The sequence below is a fragment of the Homo sapiens genome, chromosome 22 (assembly GCF_000001405.40).
Source record: "Homo sapiens chromosome 22, GRCh38.p14 Primary Assembly".
In the NCBI taxonomy this organism is placed as follows: Eukaryota; Metazoa; Chordata; class Mammalia; order Primates; family Hominidae; genus Homo; species Homo sapiens.
Window position 1 is genome coordinate 44,121,929 of NC_000022.11, and position 12,446 is coordinate 44,134,374.

The window sequence follows — 12,446 nt, forward strand, 5'->3', positions numbered from 1 at the left end:
CATGCTAGGTACAAGATTTCTTTGCCATTATTTTTTAAGTACAATATATCCACTAAGAGTATATAGTCAGAATTCTGTGTTCAGAACTTAACTGAATTATTTTCTTTTTGAGTGGTCATGTCATCCATTTAATGTATAAATAAATTAATTTGTTTCTCTCTGTATTTAGTTTTTGTGTATATGTTTACATTTAATTTTATTTAATATTACTTTTAAAAATGTAAAGCATTTACATGCTTCAAAAGTCAAAACTATGGAAATGACATACCTTGAAAGGTCTTAGCCAGGTGTGGTGGCTCAGCCTATCATCCCAGCACCTTGAGGGGCTGAGCCAGGAGGATCACTTGAGCCGAAGAGTTTGAGACCAGCCTGGGCAACATAGTGGGACCTCGTCTCTACAAATTACCAGTCGTGGTGATGTGCACCGTGCACCTGTATTCCCAGCTGCTCAGGAGGCTGAGGCAGGAGGATCACTTGAGCCTAGGAAGTTGAGGCTGCAGTGAGCCATGATTGTACCACTACATTCCAGCCTAGGCAACAGAGTGAGACCCTGTCGATCAAGAGAGAGAGAGAGAGAGAGAGAGAGAGAGACAGAGAGACAGAGAGAGAGAGAGAGAGAGAGAGACACAGAGACAGAGAGAGAGAGAGAGAGAGAGAGAGAGAGAGAGAGAGAGAGAGAGAGGTCTCACTGCTTTCTCTCCCACGTATACACTCCCAGGTAACAATTTTCAATGGATTCTGATTTTATCCTTCTTATGTTTCTTTACAAAAATGTCCATATACACACCTACTCATTTCCCTTTTATTCCTTGCATAAAAGGTGATGTATTTTGTACATTCTTTTACACACCCTGCTTGTTTCGCTTAATATGTTCTAGGAATCCTTGCATGTGGAGATCACCTTTCTTTTTCTTTATGGCTGCATTGTACTCCACTGTGTGGATGTTCCTTCGTTTATTCACCCAGTCTCCTATGTGGGGCATTTTTGTCATTTCTAATATTTTTCTATCACCAGTAATATTGTGGGAATATCCTCGTGCAGATGTTACAGAAACTAGAATTGTTGACCTCAAGTGTAATGGGTTGCTTCCTTGAGCTGACCACTGTAGAGGAAGGAATTCTCAAATTCTGAGAGGCTTCACCTCTCTCACCTCTGGCCTTCCCAGGTCTGTTGTGCCTTGGTTGATCTTTCCTGTAGCCACTTTCTGTCTTCCCTGGACTGTTCAGTGTGCAGACATGATGTAATATTTCCATTAAAAAATGGCTCCCTTGCTCCTGCAACACTCCAATTTCTCTGCATCACTCAAATGTATTGACCATTAGATTTGGCACCGGATGGGTCATTGGTGGCCCAGATGAGAGCAGTTTTGGCGCAGTGGTGGGGGTAACACGCTGATCGGGGAGGGTCCAGGGGCAGAGAACTGTGCCTTTGAGGTACATAATTTTGAGAGGGAGAGAGAGGAAGGGAGTGAACCTGTGGTTGCTGCAGCTGCTTTTCTTTTCAAGACAGGGTCTCACTCCATTGGCTGGCCTGGAGTGTGGGGGTACAATCATGGCTCACTGCAGCTTCCACTTCCTGGGCTCAGGTGATTCTCCCACCTTAGCCGCCCGAGTAGCTGAGAGTACAGGTGCATGCCACCATGCATGACTTATTTTTTGTATTTTTTATAGATACGAGGCTTTGCCATGTTGCCCAGGCTGATCTTGAACTCCTGGGCTCAAGCAATCCACCCACCTCAGCCTCCCAAAGTGTGGGGTTTACAGGCATGAGCCACTGCGCCTGGCCAATACGAGGCTTTGCCATGTTGCCCAGGCTGGTCTTGAACTCCTGGGCTCAAACAATCCACCCACCTCGGGCTCCCAAAGTGTGGGGTTTATAGGCATGAGCCACTGCGCCTGGCCATAGTAGCTCCTTTTCATGTCTGTCCACTGGGAACCATGCAAGCTGCCTGCTGAAATTACGTGGATGGAGCCCCTGGCACAGTGCCTGGCACAGGTCTGTCGTCAATAAGCAGGAGTTGTTATTGCTGTTGTTTTTTAAACAGACAAATAAATGCCAAGAGCAGAACTAAGGAGTATCTGGCTCGCTGCTGGGTACCCCATCCACCCCAAGTCCCCTGGGTGACTGGCACATGACAAATATTTGTTGATTAAGTCAATGAAAGAATTCCTGCAGTTTCATTACCTATGAAGATTGTGGGGTCCTCTTGTGGGACATGAAAGGGGGACAGATAGATGAGTATTGTTTGGATTTTTGGTCCTCAGTGCCATCCACAGACTCCAGAAGGGATCAGCTATTTGCTGAACAATCTTTCAGTTCTCATAGAGCCCTGATATGTTTTCAGGGTCCACAAATGCCTGTGACGGTGGCCTCAAGAACCCAGTGTCCCCTTGTAGGTGGGATAGCATACCTCTTAAAGGTCAGCATGAGATTCCACCCATGTCATCCCCAGCATTGGTGGGGTCAGCAGATCCTCTCTCTGGGGTTTCTTTTCTGCTCAACCTCCCTGCTTTGATGGACTGCACAGACAAGCCCCATCTTGGTGGAAGGGTCTCCCCATGGGCTGTCCTGGAGGGTCACTCCCACAGATATGCCCCATCCTGGTGGAAGGGTCTCCCTGGGGGCTGTCCTGGAGGGTCAGTCCCACAGACAAGCCCCATCCTGTGGGAGGGTCTCCCCGTGGGCCATCCTGGAGGGTCAGTCCCACAGACAAGCCCCATCCTGGTGGAAGGGTCTCCCCGTGGGCCGTCCTGGAGGGTCACTCCCACAGACAAGCCCCATCCTGGTGGAAGGGTCTCCCCATGGGCCATCCTGGAGGGTCACTCCCTCAGGGCAGGGCTGGTGACTGGGGTGGGATCATGTTTTTCTCCGCTGTTGTGACAGAGGAGTATCTGCTGCAGGGGATACGTGGACTGCGGGGGGACTGCCACAAGGATGTGAATGGGTAGGGGGTGGGGTGCTGTTTAGGAGAGAGAGAGACTAGGGGAGCCCCTGCCAGAGAAACTTGGCCCTGAAAACACAGGGGTGCAGCATCTGTAGCTGCCTCTGGACAGAGTTTGCACACTCTGCACAAATGGCTCTTACAGACCAGCTCTTGGAGGGAAACCTCCTAGGCTTGTGACAGGTGGTGGTGAGGGTGGGGGGATGAGGTGCTGGGGAGGCCATGTCCCATAACTCACTCTGAAGGACACAGTGATGCTTGGACCACATTGTTTGTCCTTATTCATCTGGCCCTCAGAAAGTATATTTGGAGGGAAACATGTCTGTGTTTGTTTTGGTCACACATTCATTCATTCATCTGATGAATGAATGTTCATTGGCTTACATGTGTCGGGTGGCTCTTGGCTGTAGAGACACAGTGGGAAACAAGAGAGATGAGCCCCGCACCCTGCGCCTGCCCACTCCCCCAGCACACATTCTAGCAGAGTGAAGAAAGAGAAGTATTATGGGGTGGAGTGGTTCAACCTGAAACCTAGATGATGTTTTAAAGGAATGACAAGTGCTAGGAGGAAAGTAATAGAAGGTTATGGGGTACAGTGGTGGGTGGGGGTTGGGGAAGGCAATCCAGGGAAGCTCCTCTGGGGAGGCGACATCTGAGCACATGTCTGCACAGTGAGCTTGGGAAGGGCGTTCTGGGCTGAGGCTCTAAAGCGAGAAAGAGCCTGTTGTGTTGGAGGAGCAGTGAAAAGAAGCGGAGGCGGGGCCCAGGTGGCAGAGAGGGAGGGAGAGAGCCAAGAGATGAGGCTGGGGCCAGATCTCATTCAGCCCTGCTAGACAACAGTCTATTCCAAGTGACAGGAAGCCATTGGAGGTTTTGGGTAGGGCTGTGACGTGGATTGGGTTAGAGTTTAAAAGGTCACTTAGGCTTCTGGGTGCAGGATGGATGGGGAGGAGAGTCAGGAGTTGGAACTGAGAGATCAGTCAGGACACCATTGCCATGGCCCAGGCATCTGATGAAGTAGCTCAGCCCCCAGAGTGGAAGGGCAGACATGGGGAGGTACTGTACAGTTAAACTGCCATAGGAACCAAGACTGATGGCCAGGTTTGTGGCTTGAGCAACTGGTAAATGGGAAGCCGTTGGGAGTAGGGTGGGAGGTTGGGAAGGCGGGGGTCTGTGTTGTACATGCTGGGGCTGAGATACCTGCCCTTTTGGAGGTGATGCTGAGCAGGTGAGCCTGGAGTCCAGGCTGCAGTGTACGTGTGAACCCAGCAGCACTGAGCTGATGTTTAGCACCGTGGGACTGCACGGCTTCACCCAAAGAGGGTGTTCCAAATTTTATTTGGCTGAATGCCGAATGCCCAAGAATTAACATCTATATTTGGCTAAGGTGAGAATCCCCATCTTAGAATGAGATCCCATGGTACAAGAATAAGTCTGAAATGTTCATCAAGATTGTGTCATAATTATCACAATTTTATTATTAAAAACGTTAGTGGCCAAAGTTTTGATGTTTTGCATTGCAGTATCAGTACAGTCACACCCAGCACTGTTGGGTACCACTTGCTCTTGAGGTCTTCAAACCAGACATTTGTGATGCTAGATGCTCACTTTCAACTCAGAAGGCTGGAGGAGCACGTGGACCTTTGGCTGATGCTGTCTGAAGGGATACTCCTCATGTGAAGCTGCCCCTGGGCTGTCAGTTTTTCTCTCTCTGAGTGGCTGGTTATGGTAGAGACTTACCTCCTCTTTGATCTTGGATGTGAAGATTGGGCTGTTGCTGGTGATGGCCCTCTGTTGAAGCAGTCCCCCCAATTGGTACTTTGCTCCCTACCTGAAGCAGATATTTTCTAATATTTTCAGAAGCAAACTTGAGTGTTTTGTTCACTTTCATTTTTTATTTCTGATTCTTTTGCCTGCACCTGTGGCTTCTCCCACCCAATGACTTGAAACAGTATGTCAGCAAGCCTTGTATCTGGCAGCCTGGCTGTGGAACTGGCCCTCAGAATCTCAGGACAGGCTCTGAATTTGCATCTGCATCTCAGCCGTGGTTGCCTGTAAACCATGCCAGTGCCTTCTATAGAGCAGAATTACAGGGGCATCTTTAAAGCTGCATCTTCCCCTCTCAAGGCACATCCTTTTGGTTCCCTCTTCAGTTAGTGCTAGCAAATGCAGCACTTACTCCGGAGTTGCTGTGATTGTCCATGAGTCCTGCTATATCAGTTGTGTTATCCATAAAGTATAACATGAGGCTTCCTTTGGCTCAAGCAGCCTTTTTCTTGTGGAGTAGCTGCTGTTCCATCTTGTTTGAATAATCACATAAGCACTTGAGAAGGCAATTCTAAAATCTCTTGAGTGTCAAGTGGTTTGACATATTAAAACCACTTTTTTTTTTTGTACTGAAAAAAAGAACAGTGGACTAGAATATTCAGATAGTAACACAGCATCAGAATGTCTTGCCTCATTTTGTGAATGTTGTTACACTGAAATGACATAATATACTGTTGATGTGAGATCCTCTTGATGTGATACTACTGATGTGATCACCTGATCCTTGAGCTCCAGGATGCCAGGAATGACACTGATGTAGGCATTCAGCTCTTTGGCTTTCCAAAGGCAGAAGCCCAAACCAAATAGGAGATTTTAGCTGAATACCAAGGTCAAAGCCAACTTCTGTGCATCCGTAGTAGAGAAGAGGTCTGAGGACTGGGTCTGGGCTGTCAGCCATTAGTGGTCAGGAAGAGGAAGTTCTGGCAAAGGTCAGTCACAAGGGAGGGGGAGCCAGAGGAGTGTTGCATTCAGGAAGGGTAAAGGAGGTGTTTCTAGGAGGTGAGAGGAGGAAAGAGAACAGACTTCTGGTTTGGCCATGTGGAAATTGCCCAGAGTGAACCAGCAGGACCCCTGAGGAGTCCCTCTTCTTTTTTTTTTTTTCTCTTGAGATAGTGTCTCACTCTGTTGCCCAGGCTGGAGTGCAGTGGCGTGATCACAGCTCACTGCAGCCTTGACCCCTAGGCTTGGATGATCTTCCCACCTCAGCTTCCCCGGGAAGCTGGGATCACAGATGCATACCACCATGCCCAGATAATTTTTGTATTTTCTGTAGTGCTGAGGTTTTGCCATGTTGCCCAGGCTAGTCTTGAACTGGGCTCAAACGATCCTCCCACCTTGGCCTCCCAAAGTGCAGGGATCACAGGGATGAGCCACTACACCCAGCCGAATCCCTCTTCTTGAGAGAAGATTCTGGAAGCAGCTGCCGGGTTCTCTGCCACATGCCAGGTTTCTGGGGGTGTAGCTCCCCTGTGTTTGCAGTGCAGCCCTCAAGGTAGACTGCATATGGCCAGAGTGAGGTGCCCGTGCTGTGGGAGCTCCTGGCTGTCGTCCTGCTGGTCACTCACGGGCACACCCTCTCCTTGTGAAGGTGAAGTTCTTCATCACATGTGTACTCAACCCCCATGTGGCCATCACTCAGGGTCACCTGCTACATGGGAGAATCCTCCCCAGTTTTCTCTCTTTCTGTGCTAGGAAGATAGGGGTCCTGGCCACAACAGAGCCCTGAGCTGCTCCTGCGGCCCCCGCCAGTGGGCACAGTGATGTCTGATGATGCAAGTGATCATGTGCCGTATTCTCTGTTGCACAGGAGTCACCCAAGACCCAGCCTAAGGCAGCACACAGGCATGGCCAGTCTCTTTGGTCTCTGTTGCCTGCTGTTTCCACCACCAAATTCATATTTTCAAGTCCTACATGCAGGGCCCACCCATGTGACCTCATTTTACCTTAACTGCCTCTTTAAATACAGGCACATTGCAAGGTATGAGAGCCTCGCCCACTAGGAGAGATGGGTAGCCTGGCAGCCTCCCACTGTCCCTGCTACCAGCCAGCCCTGCAGGTTGAACCTCGGAATGTGACTGTATTTATAGAGATAATAATAGGCTGGGTGTGATGGCTCACACCTGTAATCCCAGCACTTCCGGAGGCTGAGGTGGGCAGATCACTTGAGGTCAGGAATTCGAGACCAGCCTGATCAACATGGTGAAACCCTGCCTCTACTAAAAATACAAAAATTACCTGGGCGTGGTGGCACATGCCTGTAATCCCAGCTACTCGGGAGGCTGAGGCAGGAGGATCGCTTGAACCTGGGAGGCAGAGGTTGCAGTGAGCTGAGATGGTGCCATTGCACTCCAGCCTGGGTGACGAGAGTGAAACTCCATCTCAAAAAAATAAAAAAATTAAAAGAGGTAATGAAAGTAAAATGAGGCCATACGAGTGGGTGGGCCCTAATTCAATATGTCTAGGGTTCCTATAAAAAGAGGAGATTAGGACACAGACATGCACAGAGGGAGACCAAGTAAGGACACAGGAAGGAGAGGGCAGCCATCTACAAGCCAGGAGAGGGGCCTCAGAAGGGTCTACCCTGCCGGTGCCTTGATCTTGGACTTCTGGCCTCCAGAGCTGTGACATAAATCTCCGTTGTTTAAGCCGCACGGTGTGTGGCATGCTTCGTTGCAGCAGCCCAGACAAACGAATCCAGTGTCCTCCGCTCCTCTGCCGACTCCTCTTCCTCCACCCTGGGTGACGTGGCCATGTTCAGTCTGCGGGGCCGGATGGTGGCAGGTGCAACGGGGGCGCGTCAGGCTTCCCATCTCCCTGGTGGGCGAGGCTCTCAGACCACCCAGTTCTGTATGATCCTATCTCTCTCCTTCCTTCTCCAAGCTGCCCTGCTCTGCCCTTTCCATGGTTGTTGAACACCTGTGGGACCTACTTGCTCTCTACTTCCAGGGCGCAAATTCAGACAGACAGCTGTGGATGACTCAGCGAGGAGCTGTTAGATCCAGATGGAGGGAAATCAGATGAATAAGCGGGAATCGTTTCCACTCCCCTGCAGGATGTGTTTTGTTGGGCTGCTTTGTTTTTTCTCTTGCAGTCATTGCCACCCAATCAGATGTTTTTTACGGGTGTTTATCTCCCCACTAGGGACCTCTGTTATCTGTGCCATATCCAGCACCTAGGACAGTGCCTGTCCCATAGTAGGTGTTCAGTCCCTATCTGTGAGCCAACAAACGCATGATCGAAGGGGTATTCCGAGCCCAGCAGGCCTTGCTCTAGAATTTTATTATCTTGAAAGGGATGCCAAAGCTGTTTGTTTTCTAATTGAGGGAGGGGAGGCTGCTGGGGAGATAACACTGAAGACATGGGGGCCTCCAGCTAAAATGTTTTAAACAGAACTTTGTGCTGGGAACCACTTGCAAAACAGAAACCCCATTTGTGACTGGCCTGGACTTGATTGCTTTCATGATGGCATGTCAATGCCGCGTCACTGACAGCAGCTGTGTATTGAAGGCTCTGTGCTGAGTGCTTGCAGTCACCCTCCCAGTGAACCATCTCACGATGCTCTGTGACGTCGCTTTTGTTGTTTTGCAGAGTGGATCTATCAGTAAACACTGGAGTCTTAGAATCGAAGACTAGCAGGGAAACTGGGGGTCCTTCCTGCTGTGTGGCCCTGCAGCGGGCGTGGGGTGGGGCGCTGGTGGCCGGCACCTGCCAGTACCTACTGCTAACAAAAGGGAAATTGAAGGAGGTGCAGGCTGGGCTGGAGCTCAGTCTCAGTAATTGAATCTTGATGAAATGTGACAGTTCTTGTCTGTGCTCCTCCGGATTGTTTCCTGTTCATTCTTGGTAATAAAATCATCGCCAGTTCTGTGAATATCTAATCTAACTTCCTATTGTGGCATTAGAATGTTTAAGAAACAAGAATGGGAGCCTCAGGTGTGTGGGGAGGCAGAGGCAGCTTTTAAGACCTTTTTTAAAATTATCTTTATCAGTCCTCTCCCTTTTGGGACCCACAGGGACAGTCTTCTCACCTCCTGACTCCCACTTTCATTCTTCCCAGGTAACCTCCTTGCCTCTCAACTACATCTTATTATGTTTTTTCCATTTTGTATGCATAGAATGTTCCCGAGTATAACACCCACAGTTTTATCCTTAACTATTCTTCCCTTTTCAATCTGGCGTCATTCTCTAAGGAAGATTAGTGACCTGGAAGCTCAGCGTTCATGGTTCAACATCTCAAGACGCCCCCATGGCCACATGGTAACCTGCCCCGCTTCGGGGACCTCCTTGAGGCTGGGGTCTTGGTGGTTTTGAGTTCCTCCAGTATATCTCTCTCCCCTTCCTCCCTCCCTCCCTCCCTCCCTCCCTCCCTCTCTCTCTCTCTTTTTTTCTTTCTTCTCTCTCTCTCTCCTTCCTTCCTTCCTTCCTTTTTCTTTCTTTCTCTCTCTCTCTCTCTCTCTTTCTGAGGCAGGGTCTCACTCAGGTTGCCCAGGCTTGGGTGCAATGGCATGATCTTGGCTTACTGCAACCTCCACCTCCCGGGTTCAAGCACTTCTCCTGCCTCAGCCTCCCGAGTAGCTGGGATTACATGTGTGCGCCACCACGCCTGGCTAATTTTTATATTTTTAGTAGAGACGGGATTTCACCATATTTGCCAGGCTGGTCTCGAACTCCTGGCCTGAAGTGATTCACCCACCTCGGCCTCTCAAACTGCTGGGATTACAGGCATGAGCCACTGCGCCTGGCCCTTCCAGCTTTTTCTGACCCTCTTCTCTTGTGCTTCTCATTGCAGAAAAACTGGCAGGGTGCAAGCTGAATGTGGCTGAGGTGACACAGTCCGAAATAGGGCAGAAACAGAAGCTGCAGACGGTGCTGGAAGCAGTACATGACCTGCTGCGGCCCCGAGGCTGGGCGCTCCGGTGGAGCGTGGACTGTGAGTTCCACGCCACAGGGGGAGGGACTGTCTGGAGGGAGCCCGTCCTCTCGACATTCGTCATCCACATTTGTCATCCACATTCATCATCATCCCATCTGGCCTTGCATCTTAAAATTGGGTTCATCTCCCTGCTCTGTAAGAGGTAGAACATTGCAGGGGAGAAGAACAGGAGAAGGGTTAGGGAGATCCTAGAAAAGGGACCTGGTCAGGCCACAATTCTCCATCCTCCCCATGCTGCAGAGGAGAGAGGCAATGTTTATGGATGGGTGGATCAGAGGGACTTTGAGAGAGAGAAGCAGCCTTGGGGGGTTCTTGTTGGGACTCAACCCCAAATACTGGTGGCAGCAACACCTAGTGGGCTGTTTGTCTATGACCCTGGCATTATGAGATGTGACATCACGGTATTTTCAGCCAAGACATGAACCCGGCAGGTGAAAGACTAAACCAGGAGAAGCTGGAAAGTTCTCCTCGGTCCTGCCCACTCCTTCCCCACCTCCCTCCCCTGGAAGCAGGGCCATGAGGGTGTGGCTTCAGGGCTCTCTGTGCTGGGCCAGAGGTCTCCGTGCTTTGGTGAGCTGGGCTCTCAGTGGTAGGCAGGAGACCCTGGAGCCTGGCCTTGCACCCGGTTTCTTGGTATCGAGACCTTGGGCAGACCCAGGCTGTCTCGTGGGTGGCTGGGTCCGTGGGTGGGGAATCGGGTGCCTTGTAAACTGTAAAACCCTGCAGGAGAAGTGGTGATGTTGACCAAACCTGAGTCCGCATGCTGAGGAAGAGAGAGGACAGACTCAGGCAAGGCAGGGGCTAATGTCTAATGTCCCCAGAGTGGCCTCTGCTCTTGGCAGCCTACCCTTGTTGGGATGGTTCATTGCGGAGAGGGAGCCCTTTTTTAGTGCCAGAGATAATAACGCACATCCTTGTGATGGGTAAGTGGCCGTGACCTGCTTTCCATGCTCTTTTCCCTTCTGTGCTAATTTTACTATCCTGTTCCTTTCCCTCATCACTGCCCAATTTATTGCTTTTAAAAACATTGTGCTTCTAAAAGTGGTTGCACAAGTCACCTTAGGCCAACAGGAAAGGAGACAGTGAAGCTAGAAGTAAATTCACCAGGTTGCTCATCAGCTCTCTTGATTTGTCCACACTTCGCTCCATCCTTGTCTCGCTGGGGTCTCATTTAGATGCTGTGTCTCTGTTGCCTTCTGCACGTGGGCTCAGGTTCCTGTGTAACCTGATCTAAAGCGTCTCCCTTCCTCCTTCCTCCTGCAGCAATTCACGGGAAGAACCTGGTGGCCATCCTCCACCTGCTGGTCTCTCTGGCCATGCACTTCAGGGCCCCCATCCGCCTTCCTGAGCATGTAACGGTGCAGGTGGTGGTCGTGCGGGTGAGTATAACCGAGTGGTCGGCCTGCCTGTAACTCCGCCAGAGAGGCAACATCTTCCTCCTGCAGTTTTCCTGCCCTCCCCCTCCTTTTTTCCCCCCAGGAGGCTACCTTCTATTTTTCCCTTTTGACAAAATGTGTGTCTCACCCTGGCTCCGAGATAAATGATTGGAACGGGAACAATGGCATTGATTTGATGAGAGGCAGAAGCAGAGGCATGAGGGTGTTGAGGTTTAATTTTCCACATTTTTGAAAAGAACATTCATTTCTCTCCAAAGCCAACTGGTTGGAATTCAATCCCCTTGAATGTGCTTATTACTCATTGGAGGAGGTTGGCCCCGCGGGATGAAACAGACACCCAAATTAAAGCCGCTTTGCATTCGTTGGGGATTATTCATCATGCCCCATCATCTCTTTTTTTGGGTTCATTTCTCTTGATTCACTTGGAGAAATGGAACCAGAACCCAGGTCCTTCTAACAGAGGGTGAAGTAGAGTTACCTTTCTCTTGCTATTTCCCTTACATTTATTTTTTATTTTATTTTATGTTTTGTGAAAGGGTTTCACTCTGTTGCCCAGGCTGGAGTACCATGGTGCAGTCATGGCTCACTGCAGCCTCAACCTCTTGGGCTCAAGCGGTCCTCCCGCCTCAGCCTCCCAGGTAGCTAGGACTACAGGCACATGCCACCGTGCCTGGCTAATTTCAAATTTTTGTAGAGACAAGGTCTCGCTATGTTGCCCAAGCTGGTCTCGAAGTCCTGGGCTCAAGCGATCCTCCCATCTCAGCCTCCCAAAATGCTGTGATTATAGGTGGGAGCTGCCATGCCTGGCCTTATTTCCCTTACATTTAAGTGGACAGTCGCTGCCTAGGGTTCGTGTGTGCAGTTTCCCTCAGTAAATGTGCAATGAGCGCCTACTATTCTCTAAGCACTCAGCATAGGCTGCCGAGCCACTAAAGGAGGAACACATGCCTGGCGTCTGTGGGGGTGACCACTGCGGCCAGAGTTGAGGTCACGCTCGGAACCTTGGATGCCTCTGTGTTTATTTTACTCGAGACATCCGGCTCCACTTTCCTCTGGTTTTTAAACTTCTCAGTCCCGTGGTCTCTGTGGTCGGGGAGGACCTGGCTGTCACTGTGTTTTCCGAACCCATTCTGGCCCCTCTGTTACCCTGGGAGCTCAGTCTTGACCGGACGGGAATGCTCCTCTCTGGCATCCGGCAAGGGCCACCTGCCATGTGTCCATGTTTCCTTCCTAAGGAGGATGTTTGTGGCTGGTGGTGGTGACTCGGGACCTGGGGGGCCATTCCTATGGCCCCGTGTCTTGGCCACTGGTTCACAGGCAGCCGGCCTGAAAAGGCTTCCCTAGGAC

General features: G+C 50.4%; 1 protein-coding gene across 11 annotated transcripts in view; it reads left to right on the top strand.

The window, feature by feature from the left end:
- Positions 1–12,446, top strand: part of PARVB (parvin beta) — a 173,729-nt gene that overhangs the window by 122,718 nt on the left and 38,565 nt on the right. For all 11 annotated transcript variants that reach the window (NM_001003828.3, XM_024452236.2, NM_013327.5 and 8 more), the window contains 2 exons: positions 9,559–9,699; positions 10,966–11,081. In NM_001003828.3, the coding sequence (NP_001003828.1) occupies positions 9,559–9,699; positions 10,966–11,081 (257 nt within the window). The remainder of the gene's footprint in view (positions 1–9,558; positions 9,700–10,965; positions 11,082–12,446) is intronic.